The 26,331-nt window shown below is 49.0% G+C and overlaps 2 protein-coding genes across 6 annotated transcripts in view, besides 5 other annotated features; both read left to right on the top strand.

The window, feature by feature from the left end:
- Window positions 1–12,894, top strand: part of DUS2 (dihydrouridine synthase 2) — a 56,037-nt gene extending 43,143 nt beyond the window's left edge. For all 3 annotated transcript variants that reach the window (NM_017803.5, NM_001271763.2, NM_001271762.2), the window contains 8 exons: window positions 140–210; window positions 3,708–3,794; window positions 4,514–4,682; window positions 7,608–7,729; window positions 8,929–9,078; window positions 10,206–10,293; window positions 12,019–12,092; window positions 12,323–12,894. In NM_017803.5, the coding sequence (NP_060273.1) occupies window positions 140–210; window positions 3,708–3,794; window positions 4,514–4,682; window positions 7,608–7,729; window positions 8,929–9,078; window positions 10,206–10,293; window positions 12,019–12,092; window positions 12,323–12,560 (999 nt within the window). In that variant the 3' untranslated portion in view covers window positions 12,561–12,894. The remainder of the gene's footprint in view (window positions 1–139; window positions 211–3,707; window positions 3,795–4,513; window positions 4,683–7,607; window positions 7,730–8,928; window positions 9,079–10,205; window positions 10,294–12,018; window positions 12,093–12,322) is intronic.
- Window positions 8,896–9,005: an enhancer, noted in NCBI's record as "active region_11004". NCBI's record gives its function as "activates an Ori minimal core promoter by ATAC-STARR-seq in GM12878 lymphoblastoid cells {active_cell/tissue: GM12878}" and the evidence as "EXISTENCE:reporter gene assay evidence [ECO:0000049][PMID:35858748]".
- Window positions 18,421–18,500: an enhancer, noted in NCBI's record as "active region_11005". NCBI's record gives its function as "activates an Ori minimal core promoter by ATAC-STARR-seq in GM12878 lymphoblastoid cells {active_cell/tissue: GM12878}" and the evidence as "EXISTENCE:reporter gene assay evidence [ECO:0000049][PMID:35858748]".
- Window positions 18,781–19,070: a silencer, noted in NCBI's record as "silent region_7638". NCBI's record gives its function as "represses an Ori minimal core promoter by ATAC-STARR-seq in GM12878 lymphoblastoid cells {active_cell/tissue: GM12878}" and the evidence as "EXISTENCE:reporter gene assay evidence [ECO:0000049][PMID:35858748]".
- Window positions 18,944–26,331, top strand: part of NFATC3 (nuclear factor of activated T cells 3) — a 143,890-nt gene continuing 136,502 nt past the window's right edge. For all 3 annotated transcript variants that reach the window (NM_004555.4, NM_173163.3, NM_173165.3), the window contains exon 1: window positions 18,944–19,358. In NM_004555.4, the coding sequence (NP_004546.1) occupies window positions 19,256–19,358 (103 nt within the window). In that variant the 5' untranslated portion in view covers window positions 18,944–19,255. The remainder of the gene's footprint in view (window positions 19,359–26,331) is intronic.
- Window positions 19,231–19,500: a silencer, noted in NCBI's record as "silent region_7639". NCBI's record gives its function as "represses an Ori minimal core promoter by ATAC-STARR-seq in GM12878 lymphoblastoid cells {active_cell/tissue: GM12878}" and the evidence as "EXISTENCE:reporter gene assay evidence [ECO:0000049][PMID:35858748]".
- Window positions 19,551–19,610: an enhancer, noted in NCBI's record as "active region_11006". NCBI's record gives its function as "activates an Ori minimal core promoter by ATAC-STARR-seq in GM12878 lymphoblastoid cells {active_cell/tissue: GM12878}" and the evidence as "EXISTENCE:reporter gene assay evidence [ECO:0000049][PMID:35858748]".

The following is a 26,331-nucleotide window of genomic DNA, read 5'->3' on the forward strand; positions in this document are numbered from 1 at the left end:
TGTTGGATTTAGGTTTGTGAACGATTCTTGAGGTGCTAAATTAGGCTTGGAGGAGAGAGTAGAGCTGAGCCTACTTTAGGAGGCAGCAGCTGCTCCTTCTGGAGCTTCAGTAACCATCCTGTGTGGTCCTCCTCCTCAGCTAGAAGATACCCTGAGCCTTGTGAAGCGGATAGAGAGGACTGGCATTGCTGCCATCGCAGTTCATGGGAGGTGAGTGGTCACCTTTCTAGTGACTGGCAGGGAGGTCCTAACCCATCTTAGTGATCCTTCCTTAATTGATCTGTCACCCCAAGTGACAGCCAATTTCTCTTCTACATATTCAGCCTACCTCTGCCTAGCTCTTTGATATCTTATGAGTCTGGAGGGCAGGCAGACCCTGAATGGGCTTTTGCATTTGCCTTTCTTTCATTCATGGAGTGCCTATTGAGGGTAGGTACTGAGGTTTAGAGACACAGAGAGACTAAGAAAGGAGAAACACCTCTACTATCAGGATGTGTAAATGCTAGAGATTGAGTAATTTGCTCAAAATCATACCATGCAGCCAGTACGTGGTGGAATTCTGACCCTCATGAGAAAAATCTCATTTATTTCCTTCCCTCCCTCCCTCCCTCCCTTCCTTCCTTCCCTCCCTCCCTCCCTTCCTTCCTTCCCTCCCTCCCTCCTTCCTTCCCTCCTTCCTTCCTTCTTTCCTTCCTCCCCTCCCCTCCCCCTCCCTTCTCCCCTCCCTCTCCCATCTCCTCCCCTCTCCCCCCTCCCCTCCCATCTCCTCCCCTCTCCCCTCCCATCTCCTCCCCTCTCCCCTCCCATCTCCTCCCCTCTCCCTTCCCATCTCCTCCCCTCCCCCCTCCCCTCTCCTCTCCCCTCCTCTCCTCTCCTCCTCTTTGTCATTCTGTCACCCAGGCTGGAGTGCAGTAGCGCAGTCTTGGCTCACTGCAATCTCCATCTCCCGGGTTCAAGTGATTCTCCTGCCTCAGCCTCCCGAGTAGCTGAGATTACAGGTGCGCTCCACCATGCCCAGCTAATTTTTATATTTTTAGTAGAGACAGGGTTTCACCACGTTGGCCAGGCTGGTTTCAAACTCCTGATCTCAGGTGATCTGCCCACCTTGGCCTCCCAAAGTACTGGGATTACAGGCATGAGCCACCAGGCCCAGCCTCATTTTCTTTCTATTATATTGAGCAATGACTTCTCCCTTGAATAATCCCAGACAGACTGCTTTGTTTATGTGTTTTTCATTGTTGTTGTTGTTTTTTGAGACAGTCTTGCTCTGTTACCCAGGCTGGAGTGAAGTGGCACAATCATAGCTCACTGCAGCCTCAAACTCCTGGGCTCAAGTAATCCTCCTGCCTCAGCCTCCTGAGTAGCTGAAACTACAGGCACATGCCACCACACCTGGCTAATTTTTTATTTTTTTGTAGTGACGGGATCTCCTTATGTTGCCCAGGCTGGTCTCAAACTCCTGGGCTTAAGTGATCCTCCTGCCTCAGCCCCTCAAAGTGCTGGGATTACAGGCTTGAGCCACCATACCCAACCTATTCTTTTAAAGGCTCTGCCTCTCTTGTCTGCATTTGTTGGACTGCCAGCTGTCACAATGACTAAACAATCCTTCTAGCTGTAGCTAATGTACTCTATGCTGAGAGCTGAGGTTCTGAAGGCCACCCTTGGCTTACCATTCACACTTGTTCCCTGTGTCCAGGATGTGATTTTGTACAGCATCTCAGGTCAGTAGACTTGGGCCAGAGGGACCTCTCTTCTCTGAGTGATGTTCCTTTGGGCTTAGGGGTCTTATAGGAAGAGCCCAAGTTGTTGATTGTGCTCTTACAACATTTTCAGAGAAGGGAACCCAGAACTCCCTTCATACAAAGCAGAGCAAAGCAGAGTTGCTTGGGTTGAAGCCAGGAGGGAGGAGTACACACTTGTACACATATGCGCCTTCCCAAGGCAGCAGGCTTTGGATTCAGACTCCCTGGTTTGAGATCCCGGCTCTGCTGCTTGTTAGCTGTATATCCTTGGGAAATCACTTAACCTTTCTGAGCACAACATTCCTTGTTTAGAAATTAAGATAATTTCTACTTTATAGGGTTGTCCCAGGGCTTTTATGAGATTGTGAATATAAATCCTTGGCACAGTGCCTGGCATGTAGTATTCTTTCTCTCTCTTTTTTTTTTTTTTTTTTTTTTGAGACGGAGTCTTGCTCTGTTGCCCAGGCTGGAGTGCAGTGGCATGATCTCGGCTCACTGCAACCTTCGCCTCCTGGGTTCAAGCAATTCTCCTGCCTCAGCCTCCTGAGTAGCTGGGATTACAGGTGCCTGCCACCATGCCTGGCTTTTTTTTTTTTTTTTTTTGTATTTTTAGTAGAGATGGGGTTTCACCATGTTGGCCAGGCTGGTCTCAAACTCCTAACCTCAAATAATCCACCCACCTTGGCTTCCCAAAGTGCAGGGATTACAGGCGTGAGCCACCATGCCAAGCCAGTATTCTCTTAATAAAGGAAGCTATTATTTTTTACCCGTAGTTGGGAACACTCGGAAGACAGATGTGGGTGAGTTTGAAGAAGCCCTTTGTGACCATCAAAGCTGGTGAGATGGGCTAAAAGTGACCATTGGAGATGTAGGGAGACAGAGGTAGAGGCTAGGTTGACAGGGCCCTCGACCCTTTTGTTGAAGAGTATAGTAGAGGGGCCCGGGCGCGGTGGCTAACGCCTAGAATCCCACCACTTTAGGAGGCCGAGGCGGGTGGATCACATGAGGTCAGGAGTTCAAGACCAGCCTGACCAACATGGTAAAACCCTGTTTCTACTAAAAAAAATACAAAATTAGCTAGGCATGGTAGCTCATGCCTGTAATCCCAGCTACCTGGGAGGCTGAGGTAGAATTGCCTGAACCCAGGAGGTGGAGGTTGCAGTGAGCCGAGATTGCACCATTGCACTCCAGCCTGGGCAACAAGAATGAAACACCATATCAAAAATAAAAGAACAAGAGTATAGCAGAGGGGACATACTCAGACAAGAGCTGGACAAGGGCTATCTGGTCGACCGTCTTGCTTGCTTTGTTGCTGAGCACAGCTCAGGTCAGGCCTCACGTCAGCAGCCCTAAAACTCATGCACAAGAACTTGCAGTTGACTTTGGAAGGAGGGGCCCCAGGTTGTGGTCCTGCCTCCCTTGTGCCGTGGTGTGGCAGCCATGGTCCGTGCCTTTCCTGGGTGCGGGGCCTACCCTGTGTCAGGTGCCTCTCCCTAGGATCAGCTGTGCAACTTGGCTTTGGCATTGGCAGCTGTGTGGGAGTGGCCAGTCTGAGCAGCAGCAGCTGTTCCCAGTCCCTTGGAGAGGGCAGGACTGGGACAGTAGGGGCAGCACTCTTATGGCCCTGTCCCTCATCTCTGGCAGAGGCAAAAGGAAGCTAGGGAAAAGCAACATGACCTTGGGAGCCAGGCCACCCACCATGCCCCCCTGCAGCCAGGCCTCCCCTGCAGGCCTCCAAGAGCTGGACTTGCCGTCTCAGCATGGATCTGTGCTGCCCCTGCCCCTCACAGTTCTCCAGAGGGCAGGGAGAGCCATTTCCTGCCACCTGTCCTTGATTGCCATATGGCCACCTGACCTTCCTGAGGTTCAGTGGGGAGGACAGTAAGGTTTGGCTGAGGTAACCCTGTGTGAGTGGTGTCGTGGCTTTTGGTGCTTAGCCCTCAGCCCCATCTTTCTATCTCCAAGGAAGCGGGAGGAGCGACCTCAGCATCCTGTCAGCTGTGAAGTCATCAAAGCCATTGCTGATACCCTCTCCATTCCTGTCATAGCCAAGTAAGCCTCCTGTCTTCATCATGTACTCTGTGTCCCACAGAGCTAAGGGCTGGGTGGTAGCCAGGCCCAGCCTTCCCTAGAGTGAAAAGTTTTAGGGGTGGCTTGAAAAGGGCAGGGCTTTCCACAAGACCCCAGACCTGTTCCTTCTGCTGCCACCTGAGACCCTCCCCTCTGCATGCCTGTCTCAGGACTGAGGCTGCCGACTGACTCCTGATGAAATGTACAGAGACAGAGCAGGGGGTCCTTGGAGCAGCAGGCTGCAGGGAGGGGAAAGTATGACCTAACTGGGCCTCCTTCCTTCCTCTTGTCATCACTAGGGTGTCTGTTCCTCTCGCCAGGGTTTTGACTTAGCCCTCAGTGAACATATAAGTGGCCCATTCAGCTTGGGGGTTTTCCTGTAGCCCCAGTAGCCCAGTTATGGACCCATGTCTCCAGATGTGGGCTGGCTGTAGCCACTGTTTTAGATTAGGGGCAAGGAAAGTAAATTTCCTGGATTACCTATTAAGTGCCAGGCACTCTACATGTATTATCTCAGTTAGTGCTCCTAACTTCATAATGGGATATGGATTCTAATATCCACTTTACTGAAGCTCTGATAGCTGAAGGGACTTGGCCAAATTCACATTGTTAATCAGTGGCAGATCTGAGAGCTGACTTTTTCTGAAAATGCTGATAGGTTCCGTGATGGGGACACCCCTAACCCTCTGGTTGCTTTTTAGCGGAGGATCTCATGACCACATCCAACAGTATTCGGACATAGAGGACTTTCGACAAGCCACGGCAGCCTCTTCCGTGATGGTGGCCCGAGCAGCCATGTGGAACCCATCTATCTTCCTCAAGGAGGGTCTGCGGCCCCTGGAGGAGGTCATGCAGAAATACATCAGATACGTACGTCTCTGTACTTTTTCAAAACAAGCATTTCTCACTGTCTACCACACTCCTGCAGAGAGCACTTTGTGTGAGCCCCCAGCTGCCAGCTGTGCTTGCTGTTCCTCTCCTTTTCTTTTTAGCTCATGTAGTGTAGCTGCACTAGCTCACTGCTTTATTCGGTCTCCCCAGCTGCAATGCTAAGAGAGGATGCTGGGGGGCATACCCCTACCATCTCCTAAAGCTTCCAGAGGTTTGCAGGTCATAGCAAGAACCTTCTAGATCCAGGATGCTGTTGGAACCCCGAACACATGATATATATCTTTCTTTTTCTCACACGCTGCACATACAGAGGCATATGCACGTGGACTGTGGGTTCTGCATCATCAAAGGCATATGTGCCTATAGGTTGGCTCAGGAGCAGCCACAGCCAAGAGGAGCAATTGAGAAATTTCTCACCTGATTTGACTCATCAGTCGAAATAATTTCTAAAACTTTTCTCTTGCTAATTCCAGAATGCTTTAAGCATAACCCTCTACTTAGGGAATAGCTTTTTTTTTTTTTTTTTGAGATGGGGTCTTGCTCTGTTGCCCAGGTGTGAGCATAGTGGCATAATCATGACTCACTGCAGTCTTGACCTCCTGGGCTCAAGTGATCCTCCTGCTTCAGCCTCCCAAGTAGTTGGGACTACAGGCATGTGCCACAACACTCAGCTAATTTTTTATTTTTTTAATAGAGATGAGGTCTCCCTATGTTGCCCAGGCTGGGAATGGCCTTTTCTAAACCAGTTTCTTCTCATTGAGAGGTTGATGGTAGTGCCAAGGGCATATCCCTATAAAAGAAAATGAAGAGTTCACTTGCCTTATCTCTTTGGCACAACCCTGGAACTCTGTGGGACTCTGATCAGCTGCACATGTCTGCAGGGAGAGACAGTGAGTGGTCCTCAAATTCTTCAGTGAATTGGGTCTGAACAGAGGGTGCAGTCTTTGCCCAGAGCAGAGTTCCACCCTCCTCTTCAGTCCTAGGGTTCATACCTGCCTAGGAGTGCCTGTGGCTGCCATGGTATGTGAGTGTTTCCATGGCTGTGCAAGCTAGGATGGTAAGATGCCCTGAGGTCTGCGTCCAGAGCTGGGCAGCCTTTGTCCTATTTCCTGTTCAATGCTGCAGCCCTCACTCCCTGGTTCTGGTGTCCTGCTGGGCAAGTTGGTGACCACCAGCTCTCCAATGGTCTGGGATAGCTCCATGGCAAGGGAGGGCTTGCCCCAGCCCAGGTCAGCTATCCAGCTTTTTGGCCAGCTGGCAAGTCTGGCCAAGAAGACGTGCTGAACAGTGCTGAGCTTGCTCACTGGGTGAAAGGTGATATTATCATTCCTGCTGAGCCATCTCTTGGCAGCTCCTCAAGAGGGTGTGCTATCACAGAGAAAGGGAGCGGCTTTCAAGCATAGGCAGGGCTGCTTCTGGTCCAGCCAGGTGCCTTCTTCCCAGACAAGCTGAGTCAAGGACTTGCCACCAGCCGGGGCGCCCCGACTTACTTCCCACTTTGTCCTGAGCGTGCCGTGGCACTTTCCCAGCCACTGAAGTCATAGGCCCACGTGGAGTTACTAGAGCAGCATAGGGGGTGGGGGATGGGAGGGTGTCCTGGAGGGCTGGGGAAGGCCACCTTCACCCAATACTGCTCTCCTGCCCTACCTCTAGCCAGCCGACTTCCACTGGGTGTCCCAGGCAGTCAGTCATCTTGCCTCCCTGAGCCTTCATTTCACGGTCTGTGGAGTGATGGTGACAGTTGCACCTCACACTTGTATAGATAAATGTAGTCATGAGTAACCCATGTGAACTAAATGATGCTGTGTTTTACCCACGTAGGGGGAAGTTAGAGGCTATTCAAGATGTGGGAAGGGAAGGTGCCCATTCTGGTTAGAAGGAATAGAAGAATCTCACCCCTTTCCTGGCACTGGACCTGCCATGCCAGAATTTGGTGTGTTTCCCCTCCCTTCCCTGGAAGATACTTGGCAGTAGGTCCTCTGTGGTGGCTGAAGCAGGAAGGGGCTCCCGCACTTCGAGACCTCAGTCAGGCTGTCCAGGAGAATGTGTTTCTGACCGTGGTCCTTGGCTGTGACCCTCAAGCTTTGTACCACTAGCTGGAAGAGTAGATGACCAAGGTCGAAGTGGCTTTTTAATTTATTTTTATTTTTATTTTTAATTTTAGATAGGGTCTCAGTCTGTTGCCCAGGCTGGAGTGCAGTGGCATGATCATAGCTCACTACAGCCACAACTCCTGGGTGCAAGCAATCCTCTTGCCTTAGCCTCCCTAGTAGCTATGGCTACAGGTGTGTGCCAACATGCCTGGCTAATTTTCTTTTTCTTTTTTTTTTTTTTTTTGAGACAGAGTTTTGCTGTTGTCGCCCAGGCTGGAGTGCAGTGGCACGATCTTGGCTCACCGCAACCTTCGCCTCCAGGGTTCAAGCGATTCTCTTGCCTCAGCCTCCCGAGTAGCTGGGATTACAGGCACCCGCCACCACGCCCAGCTAATTTTGTATTTTTAGTAGAGACGGGGCTTCACCATGTTGGTCAGGCTGGTCTTGAACTCCTGACCTCAGGTGATCCGCCCGCCTTGGCCTCCCAAGGTGCTGTGATTACAGGCGTGAGCCACCGTGCCCAGCCGATAATTTTCTTTTTTTTAATTTTTGTAGAGTTGAGTCTTACGTTGCCCAGGCTGCTCTTGAACTCCTAGCCTCAAGCAGTCCTCCTGCATTGGCCTCTCAGAGTGCTGGGATTACAGATGTGAGCCACTGCTCCTGGCCAGTGGTGGTTCTTCTTATGGGGGTCACATTGCCTTGGCTACACATACATCTCTGGTGCCTTCTTGGAGCTCCTTTCCCTGCCATCAGAGCATAGCCCAGGCCTTAGAGCCTGCCTGGGCATCAGGCAAGTCATTTCTTTTCTCAGGCGGTGCAGTATGACAACCACTACACCAACACCAAGTACTGCTTGTGCCAGATGCTACGAGAACAGCTGGAGTCGCCCCAGGGAAGGTTGCTCCATGCTGCCCAGTCTTCCCGGGAAATTTGGTAAGAGGCACAATAAGATGTCCATCTGTCCTTGTACGCATTGCCCAAGTTTGACTTTGAGCCCTAAGCTGACTCCACCAGGGGACCAGGGACACAGCTTCTGGATGTAGATGTAGAGGAGTGGAGTGATGGTACAGCTTTGCCTCCCAGGAGGGGATTCTTTGAAAGCTTTGAAACGTCCCATCCCTGGACGGATCAGCAGAGCTCTGGGAACTAGGGTACTAGAAGGATAGAGGAATGCAAAGGAAGGGGATTTTCCATAAATGGGATAGTCACAGGCCAGGCCCCCAGGAACCAGTGGTCAGGAGAATTGGGCTGTAGCATGGAGCCTCTACCTTGAGCCTGCACTCACATCCATCACCCTGCAGTTTGAGAGACCACCTGTTGATTCTCTAGATCAGGTGCAGCTCTAGCTCAGATGGTTGACAGTTGAGGCCCTTCACAAGCTGGCCTAGCCACTGCCCCCACAGCTCCCTGTCTACCTGTCTGCTTCCAGAACTCCACACCTGTGCTTGTAATGGGTCGTCTGCCTGGAAGGCTCTCTCCCTCTCACGTGAGCTATCTGTAGCCTCCCTCTTACATAGATGCCTTTCTGAACCACTTTTGCCATTGGGGATCTATCTTCGTTTGAGTCTTCCAGCCTTCAAGATGTTTCCTAGAAGGGAAAAACCTTTGCCAGAGCCCTCTTCCCACCCTTGGCTTATGGCATTGGTTCAGTCCCTACCCCACATAACTCTGTAGCTCTGGGTGGTGCCTCAGTGTCAGCTGAGACCCATGTATAACTGCCTGTGGCTGGGCGGGAAGTGGGGAACCACTTAGTGGTCAGGCCTCTGTCTCTTCCTCCCATGGGCCCATGTGCTTGATCAGCATTGGTTAACTCAGTCACGGCTGGCTGGGGATACCATCTGTGTGCTTCCCCTCAGGAGAGAGGCTGCAGGTGGTGGGGGTGACCTTTACAACCTTTGCCACCCAGCCCAGCCTCCCTCCAGTGTCCACGCTTGGGTTCACATTCACTTTCCATCTTCCAGTCCACAGTAATCCCAGGGCTGGGCAGGGGGCACATTCTGATGGCCAGGCCCCGGTGGTGTTTTGGTGTATGTGGTAGAGGAGTTTCTCAGTGGTGGGGCCCTGGGGTCCTGCAGTACCCTGGATGCTGGCTCCGCTAAAGTGTTTGCTCTGATCTGCTTCTTCCTCCCTAGTGAGGCCTTTGGCCTTGGTGCCTTCTATGAGGAGACCACACAGGAGCTGGATGCCCAGCAGGCCAGGCTCTCAGCCAAGACTTCAGAGCAGACAGGGGAGCCAGCTGAAGATACCTCTGGTGTCATTAAGATGGCTGTCAAGTTTGACCGGTAGGTCTCCAGCTTGGCCTCAGCTTGGGCTAGGGCCAGCACCCTTGGGGTCCCACTGGGCCAGCACACTGGCTGCTGTATGTGCTTAATGTCAAACGTAGGGACCACAGGTCTTGTTGGTTTGGAAACTCGTTCTAAATTTTCAGCATCCCATAGAAGGTGCTTTCAGGGGAGATAGTCCCTGAAAGGCTGTCCCAAGGATAACTGAACTCTACTTTTTCCCTGATTTACCGCCTCCCACAACTCAGGGCAGGGGGGACTTGTCTCCTGTTCCTGAAAGTCTGTGCTTTTCCAAGGCCCTGAGGAACTGGCTCCTGGCATGAAGCTCCTCAAACAACAGCAGGACCCTAGCCCTCATTTGGCTCTGCAGCCCCTACCCACACCCAGTGCCCCTCACCAGCTCTGTGGTGCTCTCTCAAGCTGCTTACGCCTCAGATTGTGACTCAGCTTTGAATGGTGCCCTCCTCTGGGATCTGAGCCTTTCTCCAGTCCCCAGGACCAGACAGGAGCCAGTCTTGTCTGGCAGAGGTGTGGAGAGGGGGAGCAGGGTGGTGGGGAATAGCTGTTGGGCAGTCAGATGCCAGGGAGAGTTCCAGTTGGGAAGTTGGAATATGACCCCTCCCACCCTGTCACTGTGTCACCCTGTCACAGGCTGACTCTGAAACCAGATTCCAAGTGTCCATGGCTGCAGCAGATGATCATGACACTTGGCAGGCGGAATCAGGATGGGCGCTGAGCTAGATCCCCGAGACCATTGTCTGGCTACCTCCATTGCCCACCTCCACCCACTCCCTACTAATCTTGTCTTGAGTGGCAAGCTTCCTTCTTGGATGTTGAACATTGTTTTTCCAGTCTGGACCTCAGAGTACTGGGAGTTCATTCCCCCTTCCCTTACAATTTCTTGAGCATGCCAAAATTCATCTTCCCTTTAGGGAGAACCCAGGTCCAAGCTGCTGGTAGGACAAGAATGGGAGCCTAGGGGAGCAAGTACAGAAGCCTTAAGGCAGCAGCTCGGTGTCTCAGTTCCTCTCATTTCTGCAGCTCCTTTCAGGAGCTGAGTAGTGCCCTGGCTGAGGGAGGGAGCGGTGATGGTGGGTGACCCCAACTGCTTCCCTTCCTTTCCCCAGGAGAGCATACCCAGCCCAGATCACCCCTAAGATGTGCCTACTAGAGTGGTGCCGGAGGGAGAAGTTGGCACAGCCTGTGTATGAAACGGTGAGTTCCTGGCTGTGGCCTGCCCTGCAGCCAGTCACAGCACTCCCATGGCTTACACCCTCAACTCTAGATTGCCAGGCTGGAGCCTGGCCTTGACCTCTGTAGGCATGGAGAAGCTGCTGGTGGCCAGGTCAGTTGCTGATAGCCCTCCCCTCTTACAGTGGCCTGTTGTCCAGTTCAGCCAGACATCTCTCTTTTTTTTTTTTTTGAAACAGAGTCTAATTTTTATTTTTTATTTTTTAGAAATGTGGTCTCAGCCGGGCACGGTGGCTCATGCCTGTAATCCCACAACTTTGGGAGGCCGAGGCAGGTGGAACACGAGGTCAGGAGTTCAAGACCAGCCTGGCTAAGATGGTGAAACCCCGTTTTCCTAAAAATACAAAAATTAGCTGGACATGGTGGTGGGCGCCTGTAATCCCAGCTACTTGGGAGGCTGAGGCAGAGAACTGCTTAAACCTGGAGGCAGAGGTTGCAGTTAGCTGAGATCATGCCACTGCACTCCAGCCTGTCTCAAAATAAATAAATAAATAAATAAATGGGGTCTTGCTTTGTTGTCCAGGCAGGCTGGTCTCAAACTCCTGTGCTCAAGTGGTCCTCCTTCCTCAGCCTCCCAAAGTGCTGGGATTATAGGTCATGAGCCTTTTTTAAAAATTTTATTTAATTATTTAATTATTTATTTATTTTTTGAGACGGAGTCTCGCTCTGTTGCCTAGGCTGCAGTGCAGTGGCATGATCTTGGCTCACTGCAACCTCCGCCTCCAGGTTCAAGTGATTCTCCTGTGTCAGCCTCCTGAGTAGCTGGGATTACAGGTGGGTACCACCACACCTGGCTAACTTTTTTGTATTTTCAGTAGGGATGGGGTTTCACCATCTTCACCAGGCTGGTCTCGAACTCCTGACCTCAGATGATCCCCCGACCTCGGCCTCCCAAAGTGCTAGGATTACAGGCGTGAGCCACCGCACTTGGCCCAGACATGTTTTTGGATCAAGCCTCAGCCAATGGGGCACAGAATTGAGCCCCAGATGTGGTGCCCCTGGGGTGGAAACCATGAGATAGGCTTGCTTCACTTCCTTTGGTCCTTGCAGCCATGCCTTCCTTAGGCTGCTCTGCCTCATCTGGACTGGTCTTCTGGCCTCAAGGCTTATACCTTCTGGGGGTTGTGTCTGTGTCCCCACTCCCCCCCACCCCCACCACAGTGACTTTTCCAGAACAAATCTAACTTCTGTCTCCTCAAGTCAGCAGCTCCCCAGTATCTGAAGGATCAAGCCAGCACCTCAGCATAGAGCCTGAGACCCTTCCATGTGCCTCGCTCCTTCCAGTTTCATCCCTGCAGCCCTTTGCTCCAGCCAAGTCACCTGGTCCCTCTGCCACGTGTGCCTTCTCTGCTCCTAGCTTGTCCCTTCTCACCCTTTTGGCATCTGGTGACTCCTCATTTTGGGGACCTGGCCTATCCAGATGTCAGCAGGAGGCTCCATAGTCATGTGCAGCTAAGGGCTCTGCTGCGCTTTGCTTAGGTCTGTGACAGCTCCAGACACTTGAGGTCATTGTGTATTTGTGCCTTTCTCCACTGGGCACTTTTGCTTGGGAGGAGCATGTGATACAGGCAGCCTTCATTTGACTTAGGTTGGAAACACTTCCTTTTATCTGCCTTTGATTTGACCCCAGCAGTTTGGCCTACAGGGCTCATTTCTCTGGCCATGTGATTCCTTTTCTCTTTGTATCAGGTTCAACGCCCTCTAGATCGCCTGTTCTCCTCTATTGTCACCGTTGCTGAACAAAAGTATCAGTCTACCTTGTGGTAAGTTTCCTTATCATAGGAGAGGAGGCTTGGGGTGGGGCGGAGAGTGGGCATTCTGCCCACACATCCAGCATTGTCCTAGGAGGGTTGGGTAGATGGTATATGTGGGCAGTGGCATCCCTGGATGGTGACCCCTTACTCAGTCTTGTCAGAATCTGCCAAGGATGTGTAGAGTCAGGCCTCATAGCCCTGCACCCTGCCCCTCACCTTATTGCCCTCTGTCTGCTCAGGGACAAGTCCAAGAAACTGGCGGAGCAGGCTGCAGCCATCGTCTGTCTGCGGAGCCAGGGCCTCCCTGAGGGTCGGCTGGGTGAGGAGAGCCCTTCCTTGCACAAGCGAAAGAGGGAGGCTCCTGACCAAGACCCTGGGGGCCCCAGAGCTCAGGAGCTAGCACAACCTGGGGATCTGTGCAAGAAGCCCTTTGTGGCCTTGGGAAGTGGTGAAGAAAGCCCCCTGGAAGGCTGGTGACTACTCTTCCTGCCTTAGTCACCCCTCCATGGGCCTGGTGCTAAGGTGGCTGTGGATGCCACAGCATGAACCAGATGCCGTTGAACAGTTTGCTGGTCTTGCCTGGCAGAAGTTAGATGTCCTGGCAGGGGCCATCAGCCTAGAGCATGGACCAGGGGCCGCCCAGGGGTGGATCCTGGCCCCTTTGGTGGATCTGAGTGACAGGGTCAAGTTCTCTTTGAAAACAGGAGCTTTTCAGGTGGTAACTCCCCAACCTGACATTGGTACTGTGCAATAAAGACACCCCCTACCCTCACCCACGGCTGGCTGCTTCAGCCTTGGGCATCTTCATAAATGGGCTTGTGTCCTGGCATGATTCTACTCCCACCCTCTGTGCAGAGCTTGAGCTTTCCAAAGTGGATCTCCTGCCCATCTCTGTGGGTCTGGTAGAGGTGGGGAATGGGGTATCACTGGACTTGGGCCAAGTTAGGAAGGCCCAAGAAGCCCATTCTACTGATGGTACACCTGACACACTGGGCATCAATTGTATGTCCTGATGAGAGGTGATATGGAATCTGGAAGAAAGACTAGGGTAACTGGTGCTGCAGTAAGGGACTAGTCCAGTGGGGTGGGGAGTGTTGGTCTGATCCCCAGAGTCTCCAAGCCTGACAGCTGCCTGGAGTCTCAGACCTGATGAGGTGCCTGCTTTGGACAGTGGGGCACTGGAGGCGGCTGATGACAGCAATTTGGGGCCCTTATGTTTGGCAGATCACACCACACAGTCCCTCCCGTCCCCCGCCTTCCTCATCCCACTTGGGGCGGAAGGAAGTGGCAGATTCTCTTTAATTTCCTCCTGGCAGTGAGAAGCAAACAAACGGCTACCGCATCTCATGGGGCCTCCCCCGCTTACTGGGAGGGGCGTTCTGACCAAAGGTCCCTGCCCTGTCCTGCCCCCGCTTCCTCAGCTGTAAACATGCTGCTTCTCCTCCCTTTTTCCAGGCTCCATTGGGGAGTGGGGAGGGGAGGAGTCCCCTCTGGGTCAAAGCTGTATTTCCCACATCTCCCCTGTGTCAGAGCTTTACTGTTTTGTGGCAACTTTAACACAGGGTCAGGCACCTGTGCCAGCCAGCAGCCTCTGGCCCTGCTGGCCTCTGAGTCTAGGGTTTGGTGGGTGAGGCCTCTGTCTCAGTTCCAGCACCGCCCCCCTCCCCCCTGCCACCCACGCTTGCTTTTCTGTGTGCAGATAAGGATACCGCACTACCCACTGCCTCCCAGAGCTCATTGCTGTTTGACCTTGGGCAACTCACTTCTAGTCCTCTCTGTCCTGAGGGCCCTCCTCTTAGAGGGGATCCGCTGTCCTCTGCCTGTGTGAGGCTGGCTGGAGGACAGTAGGCTGGCCCTTTGATAGGACTCTGCATGGTTAATGGGGTCATTCCATGCCAGGCTGCCCTAACTGACTTCCCAGACCAGTGCTCCCCGAGAAAGGGCTCCACTCAGGAGAAAGACTGAGGCTTGGTCCAGTCTCAGCCACCAAGCTTTAGGCACAATTTATTTCTGATTTTTCTTCTTTTTTTTTTTCATAGAGATAGAGTCTTGCTATGTTGGCCAGGTTGATCTTGAATGCTTGGCCTCAAGCAGTCCTCCCGCCTCACCCTCCCAAAGTGCTGGGATTACAGGCATGAGCTACTGCGCCTGGCCTATTTCTGATTTTTCGTACTAAAAACAATCTCAATCAAAATGCCTCCTTTGGCTGGGTATGGTGGCTCACACCTGTAATCCCAGCACTTTGGGAGGCCGAGGTGGGTAGATCACTTGAGCTTGGGAGTTCAAGACCAGCCTGCTGGGCAATGTGCCAAAACCCTGTCTACAAAAAAATATAAAAATTAGCCAGGTGTGGCCGGGTGCGGTGCCTTACGCCTGTAATCCCAGCACTTTGGGAGGCCGAGATGGGCGGATCACGAGGTCAGGAGATCAAGACCATCCTGGCTAACATGGTGAAACCCTGTCTCTACTAAAATTACAAAAAATTAGCTGGGCCTGTTGGCGGGCACCTGTAATCCCAGCTACTTGGGAGACTGAGGCAGGAGAATGGCATGAACCCGGGAGGCGGAGCTTGCAGTGAGCCAAGATCATGCCACTGCACTCCAGCCTGGGCGACAAAGTGAGACTCTGTCTCGAAAAAAAAAAAAAATTAGCCGGGTGTGGTGGCACGTGCCTATAGTCCTAGCTACTCAGGAGGCTGAGGTGGGTGGATCACTTGAGCCCAGGAGGTTGAAGCTGCAGTGAGCCATGATGGCACTACTGTGTTTCAGCCTGGGCAACAGAGCAAGACCCTGTCTCAAAAAAACAACAACAAAAAACAAAAATGCCCCCTTTGCCTTTTCTTATACTCCAACTGGAACTGGTCAGACAGAGGCTGCAGTGCTGCCCGCCCCCACCAAGTCACTGAGTCCTAAGACCTACCTCCCCAGTGGAACTGGGCTTTGATCTCAGGCCACTTCTCCCACCAGTATGGTTTCCCTGGGGGAAGCCCCTCCTCTGGCAGGGTCAGGTTCATTTCTGGGCTCTGGGGAAGGAGAGGCAGGGATTCAGGTCTGCTATTAAGATAGAGGCTGTAATGTGGGGGCTTTGAGGGCCCTGGGAAGCACTGGGGAGAGAATCCTTTACAGGGGAGGAAGGTGGGGTGGGTCTACTATATATTCTGTGACTGAGGATGTCTGGCAGAGATCCTGGTTGGATATGTTAATCCTCAAATGATCTCACTTTAGCATACCTCAGTGTTGCCTTTCCTGGTCTCAAAGTGACCTGCCCAAGGATGGGACTGACTGGGGGGTGGAGGGGGACAGTCAGGCCTGAAAGCTCTGCCCATTGTTCTCACCATGTCCACCTTAAACTGGGCCACTTAGACTCCCAAACCTCTCCCTGGGCTAGTAGCCACAACACTTATCCATCCATTCCAGCCAGCCTGATTGAGGATTTCCCCTTAGATCATCACATTTGGGGGACAAATGGTTTTGATATGAGCATGAGAGGAAGGGATGAGTAAGGCTGGAGAGGGTGGCAGGTCTCTCAAAGGCCACAGCAAGAAGACTGGGCTGTGTGCAAAGAATCTCTTCCACCCTCAGTTCTGGATACTTGGGTCCTTCCAGTTTACTCTGCTCAGAACTCTTCCATGGGTCTCTTAAGTCTGCTCTCTGGACCAAGTCCAAACTCCTCAGCCTGGCATTTGAGGACAAAGTGCTGACCCTGTCTTCTCAGCACCCTGTGCTGACTTCAGCAACTAACTTTCTGAGATTGTAGTTGGCTGGTCTTATCCTCTCCTCCCAGATTGGGAGCTGCTCAAGGGCAGTCCTTGTGTCCCCTGTGGCTACCTTGGCATGGGTCTGGGGAGCAGGCACAGAAGAATCAAACCAGAGCTTGGGATGAGGGGGATGTTTGGCATGGAGAGGAAGAACTTTTCTAAACTCTGAATTTCCTCAGAGGCTCCTGTTTTGCCTAATGGGGAACAAGGGACTGGGGCAGGCTAAACTGTACCATCCCATGGCTCAGAGGGCACTGAAGAACTTCAACAATGGGTGCTTGGGAACAGTCCTGTGGCAGCTGATGATAATGATGGCTTTCCCTAATTCCCAGTCTTGGGTGGCATTCATACAGGAGAGAGTGGTTGTACAGTGACCCACATAGCCCTTGTCCACCCTGGGGTTCCACCTACTGCACTGGTCCTGTGGGCCTCCTGGTTTCACAGGGCTCTCAGAGGGCTGAAGGTGGGTCCAGATGACCTGCAGGAGCTTTGGAACTGCCTGAAGAAGAGCTCATGGGGGTACATACTGGCCCTAGCTGGGGCAAAGGGCTGAAAGAGTATGTACATATCGGTGTATGTGTGTGGTCAGGCCCCTTCACAGGCTGCAGAGTTCCCAGCCGTTGCTGACTTTCTTACACACATGGTGACTCTCTTCCTGCAGTTGGTGCCCATCCCTGTCCCAGCCCTCACCATTCCTTGGTGAGATCAGAAACCCTCCCTACAATGTAATCTGTTCTAAGTGTTCTCCAGGTGCTCAGTGGCTGGGAAGACAGATGCATAGCTGAGCATTTGATGAGTGGTTGAATTTTTCAAGCCATCTACAGCTTCTCTGTGGTCCCTTCCCAGTGGAGGGGCTGACCAGCCCAGGGTCTCCCTCCTGCCTGCTGTCTGGTCTGACTATGGCTGATCCCATGATTTAGGTGAAGTCATGTCTGGAGGGACTTCAGATGAGCTGGCCAAGCCTCTGGGACCTTATACTGTATCAGGATCCTGTTACATGTGGTACAAATAGGTGGGCCAGCAACCTGCCTGAGGCAGAGGGCTCTAGAGCTGATGTGGCATTTGGGCCCCAAGTTCCACACTCAGGCCCTCAAGGTTGGAGATTTGCAGGCAGGACAGGTTATTGGGAAGGATAGTCCACCCGTCTAATGCCAGTTGTTCCCTCTCCTTGACCACATTATCTTCTCCCTCTGACTTCATTCACCCCTGTCCCAGTTGAATCTAGTGATCCATCCAGAATTCTGACCATGTAAATCCCCTGCTCTAAGTCCTTCCACTGCTCCCTACTGCCGTCAGGATAAAGTCCAGACACTTTGCAGTGGCCTGCAGCATTCTGCCCACTCATCCGGCCCCACCTTAGGCTTCTGCCCACTGCAGGTTACTTTATGGTTATCAAGTCTTTGGAAATCTGTTCTCTGCCTGGAATGAAACTTGCTCACTTCTTGTCTGTCACTCCGGTTCCTACTAACCCCTGTCAAGGCCCTGCAGCTAGCAGGCTTATGAACTGTCTCTGAGCTCCTGGCACAACCCTCATCTCTTTGTACAGTAATTATAGATTTGCTGGTCCCCTCTCCCCTACCCCTGAAGGGAGACTTTATCTCTGAATCCCCAGGAACAGCACAGGTACCGGTACAAAACACTGGGCAGAAATGAAGCAATACAAGATGAACGTCTTGGATGCCCTGGACATTCCCTGTCTTCCTGACCCAAGGTCTAGTTTGGCTCCCTCTAGGGCTCCCTGGTAGCTCAAGTGTCAGTCCAGACATTGAGACCTCGGCAAAGAGCTTCCCTTTACCCTCTCTTCCCACTGGCCTTTGTGGGCGGTGTGGAATGTGCTGTAGGCCTTGCGAGAGCGGCATTTCTTTTTTTTTTTTCTCTCTTTTTTTTTAACCTATTGTAGCCTCTGAGAGGGCAGCATTTTTGGGCGCACCTGCACCCAAGCCTCTGACAGTGCCCTGGGTTCCTCCAGCAACGCGCATCTAGGGATGCTATGCCCTGTGGGCCCTATGCCCGGGGCACGGAGCTAGGGGAGGCGGTCACCCTACTTCTCTCACGTCCCTGTCCACCTTGCGCCTCAGCGGAGCCTTAGGTAAACAAGCCAGGCTCCCAGTCCCCAAGGACGGCCTTCACCCCAGACCCCAGGAGGAGGCGTCTTGGGCCATCTCGGGAAGGCTAGCTTGCTCGGGAGGGGCAGATCACGAAAACGGTTCTTTAGGCAGTGTCACTTCCTCTCCACTGCCAGCCACCCAATTTAGGCGGCTCCATCCCTCCCGCTTTCATGGATATGCAGCAGGATGCAGAGAGCACAGAGCTGTGATTGGCACGAGCTCACAACGGGCTTTCCCGCTCAATCTACTCAACTTCCAGCAAGGGACAGGCCCTGCCCATTGGGGTTCGCTGAGGCCTCAAACGCGCATGCTGTCAAGGGAGCAGCTGCGGGGGCCCGCTAGTGGGGACAAAGGCGCAGCCACCGGGGCGAAAGCTCCGCCCCGCAGAGGGTGGGCCTGCGGCGACCGCGAGCTCAGAGTCCGGACTTGTCGCGCAATCTGTCTCCTTCGGTTCCACCCCAACCTAGCTGGACTCTCGGTCCGGTCCCTGCCCTCTGGAGACTCAGCCATTAAAGTTGAGGTGGGGGGATGAGGATGTGGGCGGCGTCCAGGTAACTCTGAGGGGCCCTGATGCCTTCCCTAGAGCCAGCCATCAGGAGTAACACGATGCGCCCCCACATCACCGAACCCAGAACCTCAGTGCTTCAGCACCCCTTCCTCGACATGAGCTCCGCCCAATGAGGAGAAGGGTCTTCTGCATTGGCCGGTGGTGGTCCCCTATCCAATTAGAGAGGCTAACGGCCTTCTCTCGTCTGGTTTAGAAGGAATCGCCGGGGGAATACAGGCCAAACTACAATTCCCGAGAGGTAGCTGGGCTCTGCGGGGGGGGGGGGGGGGGCGCCTGCGTGTTCACGTGACTTCCTTCCTTCTCGCGGAGACCGAGTTACGCGATAGGCCTGTGAGGGGGCGGGGCCCGGCGCCTGTTCGCCGTGTTAGTGGCCAATCGGCAGCCAGGCAGGGTGGGCGCGCGTAGGGGGCGGGGCCGGGCGCGCGGCAGGGCGCGAGAGCGCACCCGCGGCGGCGGTGGCGGCGACTGTGGGGGGGCGGCGGGGAACATTGGCTAAGCCGACAGTGGAGGCTTAGGCACCGGTGGCGGGCGGCTGCGGTTCCTGGTGCTGCTCGGCGCGCGGCCAGCTTTCGGAACGGAACGCTCGGCGTCGCGGGCCCCGCCCGGAAAGTTTGCCGTGGAGTCGCGACCTCTTGGCCCGCGCGGCCCGGCATGAAGCGGCGTTGAGGAGCTGCTGCCGCCGCTTGCCGCTGCCGCCGCCGCCGCCTGAGGAGGAGCTGCAGCACCCTGGGCCACGCCGATGACTACTGCAAACTGTGGCGCCCACGACGAGCTCGACTTCAAACTCGTCTTTGGCGAGGACGGGGCGCCGGCGCCGCCGCCCCCGGGCTCGCGGCCTGCAGGTGGGTGCCGGGCCAGGCGGGACCGTGGAGCGACCCCGCTTCTCGCTCGCAGGATCTCTCGCTCCCTCCCTGTTCCCTTGGATGACCGGAGACCGATAACCCTGTGTGTGTGTGTGCGCGCGCGTGTGTGTGGTGAGTTAAAAACGGATTTAAATCGCTGAGGAGGCGTGTGGGTCGCTGCGACGTGGAAGTGGTGGCGGGCTTGGCTGGAAGCAAACTAGTGGGGAACTCGACTCCGGGACGATCGGGGTTTGGAGGCCCAGGGTCCGGGCTGCTGCCCAAGTGGCGTCTGGTTGTCGTTGCTTTGCCAGTGTGTTGCAAGGAAAATGTTGTCCCTGTGAATTGTTAGCGCACTGGGTTTTTCATCTATTCTAGGTCGTTTCTTGAAATTTTAGTTTGAAAGATGCTTATTTTTCAACGGTAGGACCCCTCTAAAAATCAGGCACGTGTTTTTTTAAGTCTACTTTGCTAGAAGAGTAATGCTTTCGAGTTAACGTCCACTCGTGCAAGTTTATGACCCACAATTAATTCGAAGTGTAACTGTAACGGGACTTTTCTGGAAACTGGATTTCCTTACTTGAATAAAGTGTTCCGGAAGATTTTTTTTTTAATAGTGGGTTGCTTTTTTCATAATTTTCCTAGAAAGTTCTAGAAGTCGATTTTTATTTAAAGAAAAATCTCTCCTTGGAAGATATTTTAAAGGAAATCTTGAATTGGGAAAGCTGGGCACCATCATGCTTGCAGGTCAGACCAATCAGGAAATAGAAACAGGATGACTGGGGACTTAGAGCTCTTTTGTGACCTGGTTTGGAATACTGTGGTTCATTAAGTTCAGTTTCCCTGTTACATATGCATACGAACTTCAAAAAGGAAATGGATAAGAGTAATCCCTATTTTTTCTTGCCTGGTATGAGGTGAATTTCTTAATGTTCATGTTTGATGTTCAGTAGACTGTTCTGTAGAGTTGCATTGAAAAAACATACCTGAACGTGAGGCATGAGGATTCTCTAGGCGGTACTTATTTTATCGGTCCTTTTAGTCTTCATATGCTAGATGTCTTTTTCACTGTAGTACATAATTTATAATAGTTATGTGTTGGCTGCGTTTATTTTCAATTCCATTAACATAATTTGAGCACCTATTACGTCGAACCACTCTTACGGACCCTGTAGTGTTATGATGAGGCAGAGGACTGAGGCTTTTCAAGGAGTTTGGGAAATAGTTGGAGGAGACACATAGTCCAAGTAATAACTGTACTACTAGGAAGTCTGTGAATGGTGATGCATTTTATAGTAGAGGAAGAAACAGGAAAAGTGGCATTTGTGGAGAGTGTAGCATTGAATTGTATCTAGATTATCGGGACTTGAAAGAAAAACAGCTTGTTTGAGTATTTTTATTGTAAAAGAGATAAACAGTTGATGATGTCAGCAGATTTTATTGGGCACAAACTTGATTAGAGCATATATACAAATATATGATCGATAAGGGTGTTAACCAAACATATGAATAATAAAGGAATTGTGTGACTACATAAGTAGGAATTGTATATACAACCAAAATACTGAATAACATTTCAAAGCTATGAAAAAATTTTTAATGATCTTTACCATACGCAAAAGCCATTTTGATATTAAAATAGGTCTAAAAGGAGTTATCTGTAACTTGATTTATAACTGAAATTTCAAAAGGTAAACATCAGCAGTTTTATTTGTCACATAAAGTCCACTTTAAAATATTTTAAGCAGGTAATTTTTTTTAAAGTTTTTTTAATATTAAGGCAAAATACATATGAAAAAACAAACCTTCTTAAAGTGAACAATTGAGTGCATTCAGTGTTGTGCAGCTACTGCTTCTGTCTACTTCTAAAACATTTTCTTCATCCAAAAGAAAACTCAGTACCCATTAAACAGTTGCCCCATATTTTTCCTTCCCTCCTCCCAACCCCTAGTAGCCACCAGTCTGGGATCTGTCTCTATGGTACCTCTTCTAGATATTTTATATAAATAGGATAATATAATATGTGACCTTTTGTGTCGGACTACCTCATTCCTTTCTATGGCTGAATAATATTCCATCGTGTGTGTGTATAAAGGAACACAATTTGTTCACCAATTGATGGACATTTGGGCTTTTTCTGCCTTTTGGCTATTGTGAATAGTGCTGCTATGAACACATAGCAATTAATTTTGAAATTCTGTTGAGGATGTGTTATATATTCACAGCTAAGTTTTCAGAATTACTTGTTCACAAAATAAGTTTTCATTTTACTAAGCATAATTATGAGTATGTAGTTTGAAGGAACAAAGTGGATTCACTGAAATGATTTTAGGATAATATATGCAGTAAAGTGGAAAATAAGAATAAAATGGTTAGTAGAATTCAGATCCTTGCTGGGTTATATCAGTGTGTTTGCCGAACTTATTTTTGGATTCTCTTCCTCACTGGAATGGAAGTTCCTTGAGGTCGGGGATAGTGTCTGTATCTTTTTCAGTTATATTATCAGTGCCTAGCTAGCACAGTGCCTTTACATAGTAGGCACTATATATATAATATATAACATATATTATATATAAAATACATATATATTTACATATATAATGTATATTTCATATATAATATATAATGTATTATATACATTATATACTCATATACTATATAATATATAAAATGCATATAATTATATATAATATATGTAGTGTATATAATATATATTTTATATATTATATATAATGTTTATTATATATTTTATATATATTTTTTCTTTTTTGAGGCAGGGTCTCGCCCTGTCGCCCAGGCTGGGATGCAGTGGCGTGATTTCAGCTTACTGCAGCCTCGACCTCTGGGGTTCAAGCGATTGTCCCGCCTCTGCCTCCTGAGTAGTTGGGATTACAGTGGTGTGCTGCCACAGCTGGCTACGTTTTGTGTTTTTAGTAGAGACAGAGTTTCACCATGTTGGCCAGGCTGGTCTGGAACTCCTGACCTCAAGGGATCCTCCTGCCTCAGCCTCCCAAAGTGGTGGGATTACAGGCATGGGCCACTGCACCCTGCCCAATATATATATTTTTAAATAGAGATGGAAGTCTCACTATGTTGCCCAGGCTAGTCTGGAACTCCTGGGCTCTCCTGTTCTGGCTTCCCAAAATGCTGGGATTACAGGTGTGAGCCACTGCACATAGCCCCTATATTTTGTTAAATAAGTGAATAAATAACACCTAAGTTTTGAATCATTGCTCACTGCTCTTTCGTGGTAGAGGAAATTGACGAGAATTGTTTCAGTTCTTTGGCTTTTATTGATGAGTTCCATAAATTAGATCTTGGTAATTTGGGGCTGCAGTGGTTTTACATCTCTGAAGGTTTGGGAGTACTTGTATCACAACTAAATTTCCATACAGTGAGAAGATTTTTGAAAAATAGTGAGGTAAGTGGATAGAGAGTGAGGACAAGCCAAGGGCTGAATTTAGTGAATGTCCTAAGCAAGCTTGTTAAAGTGCTAATTAGATGATGTGAGATGGACTTGATAACGCTTAATAATGTTGTATGTTGTATACATTTGTGACTGACGACTGACTTTTTAAGACTACTGTTTGCGAGATATTTTGAGATTTTTTTCCATTAAAGAAAATTTAAGACCCTAGAGTCGTCAGCTTTCTTATTTATTTATTTTTTTAGACAGTCACATTTAGTAGTGGGGGGTTGTATACCAACTTTAGTGACGCTAATGTTAATACATTATAATAACTCTCTACCGTCAGACCAGCCTACCTTGTTTTTTTAAATATGACAGTGCTATCTCTGATTTCTGCAGTTAAAAATGAACTAAACTTTTTTTTAACATTCTTTTACTTAATATCTAGCTCTAAATAGATGATATACCTCAGTAGTAAATAGGAAATTTAAAATAGGTACATGTTTAATGTATTCCATTAACATTGTTTGCCATTATAAAGGGCAGCCTGTGGTACTCTATTTTAGTGTAGTGATTGTGTATCTCTAAGTTTGATGTTATAATAATCTGTACTTTGCAAATTCAGAGTTTCATTCTCAGGGTTCATTACTAAATATTGACTTTCTAGTCCTGAATGAGAGTTACTGGAAGGAATGTGCTATATACTATGTGTAGTATCTTATCTACTACTGTTTTTTCAAAGGGGAGAAATATCTTAGATACAATATGTATTTTTGTAAGAAGTTTACTCGATGATAAGATATGTGTAATTTTTTTCAGATAATCCTTTAATACACAACTTTTTCATATGTCAAGTTGAGGAACTATTCCTAGAAATTGTCTTAGAATTTAATCTACAATGTTTTTACTTTGTTTAGTGCTTGGAGATGTGATCCAATTTACTGTCTCTTAGATAATTTTATTTTCTCACTTTTCAGTTTTTATTGATCATTTTTAGTCAAGGTTTTTGTTTTATCTTGTGTAAATGAGATAATGTATTTAAAGCACTTAGCACAGTCCTGGTCCTATTTAAGTGGTGGTAACTAAAATTTTTTTAAACACGCAACCCCCCCCCCCCAACATTTCTTTAAAAACACACACACACACACACGCACACACACACGAATAGGCTAGTTTTTACTTCCTTCTCTTTGCTAGACCCTTCTCCACATGCTAAATTAAAACATTGAGAGATAGTAGGGCATTTACAAACAGTAGCATTTTAAAAAGAAGAAAAAAAGAGATTAGGGCAGATGAGAGATTCAGCAATTTAAACCTTACATGAGTTAGAATATTTGGTCTTAAGACATTTTTATCTGTTTAATTCTAGTCTTTTAAATGTTACTTACCTCTTATATTTTATCAAATACTGAAAGTAATACACTTTTAATTATATTTTTCCACTTTCTTGAATTAAGTTCTTAGTACAATGTGAAAGTTGGTTGATCTGCCAAACATTTAAGTATATAATTGGATATTTAAATCAGTATGAAAAGGAGGAAGTTGGTTGGTTTCTTGTAGAAATTTAATGGTGTGTTTGTACAGCCCATTAGGAACTGTAAAGGAGGTTTTGGATGCTTAGTAGCTTTATTTTCTTACCTTAGGCCAACGTTTTCTGTAGAGTTGAATGTAGTGAGAATATGTATTAGACGACTGAGTCGATAATAAATATTTTAACATTTCATTTGGAAGAATACAACTCTGTTTCTTTGACACATTTCCTGATGTTGAAGGATGCTTCTGGGGGTAACTGGCAGAATTTTGTGGTTTAGATTAGTGAAAAAATGTGTTTCAGCAAGTATGGGGAAAAATCGAGGAAAAATTTCAATGTCATGTTTTTGTTAAAAACATTCATCATTGCAAGAGCTATTCCTGTACTTTCTTAGGTGTTCCTATTTGCCAATCCAGAAAGGATACTTTGGCATATATTCTTAACTATTAGTAGAAGTAATACTGTAGTAGTTTTATTAGGTGTTATAAAAGTTAAAACTTGGGTATTATATACATAGCCAAGAAGTTGTGGGGGTTAAGTAAGGCCTGTATCTTAAGCGTTCAAGATAATAATTTAAAGTAAGCTGTAGAATCAACTTATAATAATGACTTGCCTTTCTTTGGCAACCAGTAAACTTTGCCTAAAGTTGTATTTGTTTTTATTGAAGGCATAGTCCAAATTCTGCTTTTGAAGTTTGCTCTATATTTATTTTTTAAATGAAATGGAATTGTAAGGACATTTTTGGTGAGAAAATGTAGTATTACTTTTTCTTCAGAGAAAGTCATAAATAGTGATATATAAAATGGGGACCTTTTAAGAGAAGTTAATGAGTTGTATCACTGATTTCCCTCTCATTATTGCTAGTTGAGTAGTAGATAATTCAGTATGGTAATGTTTTGTTTTAAATAAGAGGTGAGGTTGAAGAAGCCATAATATAGTGAAGGCAGTCACATTGCTCTTAAAAGATAGGAAACCTGAGTAGGTTGAGCCTCATTTGATAGTAAGCAGTAGTTTGCTCACAGCAGTAACATAAATAAGGAAGGTGTTGTGTAAAGCTGTCCTGGTGGGTCAGGGGAGTAGACACAGCAGACTTGGCAGTAGGCCTGGCTTCTAAAACAATATCCAAGTCATCAAATTTGCCCAGGCATGCCATATGAGGTTCAAGTAACAGTGGAATTTAAGAGGAGTGAGTTTGTTCAGGGAGGCTTGGGAGAGTCACAAGCAAGAGCAAGCTTTTTTAAGAGCCATCATTTAAACTCAAACATAATGTGGGTCTGCATATATTTTGGCATGTCTAGTAATGTTTACGTAATTATATTGTATGACTTTCACCTGTTGGCAATTGGGGCTCTAAGATTTAAGTAACAGCCTATGAATTGCTAGTTTACCAACAGCTGAAATTTAATCTTTGGGACAGTTCTAGTTAATATTAGTTAATATTCATGTGTGAGGCTGGGCGCGGTGGCTCTCACCTGTGTAATCCCAGCACTTTGGGAGGCTGAGGCGGGTGGATCACCTGAGGTCAGGAGTTCGAGACTAGCCTGGCCAACATGATGAAACCCTGTCTTTACTAAAAATACAAAAAATTAGCTGGATGTGGTGGCGGGCGCTGTAATCCCGGCTACTTGGGAGGCTGAGGCAGAATTGCTTGAACTTGGGAGGTGGAGGTTGCAGTGAGCTCAGATGGTACCATTGCACTCCAGCCTGGGGGACAGAGTAAAACTCTCTCTCAAAAAAAAAAAAAATAAATAAATAAAAGGCTGGGCACGGTGGCTTACGCCTGTAATCCCAGCACTTTGGGTTGCTGAGGCAGGCGGATCACGAGGTCAGGAGTTCGAGACCAGCCTGACCAACATGGAGAAACCCCGCCTCTACTAAAAATACAAAATTAGTACATCGAAGCTGGGTGCAGTGCCCTGTGCCTGTAGTCCCAGCTACTTGGAAGTATCTCTTGAGCCTAGGGATTCTAGACCAGTCTGGATAACATAAGGATACCCTGTTTCTTAAAAACAAAAACAAACTGTTAGTGCATCGAG

Source organism: Homo sapiens, chromosome 16, assembly GCF_000001405.40.
Source record: "Homo sapiens chromosome 16, GRCh38.p14 Primary Assembly".
NCBI classification, from domain to species: domain Eukaryota; kingdom Metazoa; phylum Chordata; class Mammalia; order Primates; family Hominidae; genus Homo; species Homo sapiens.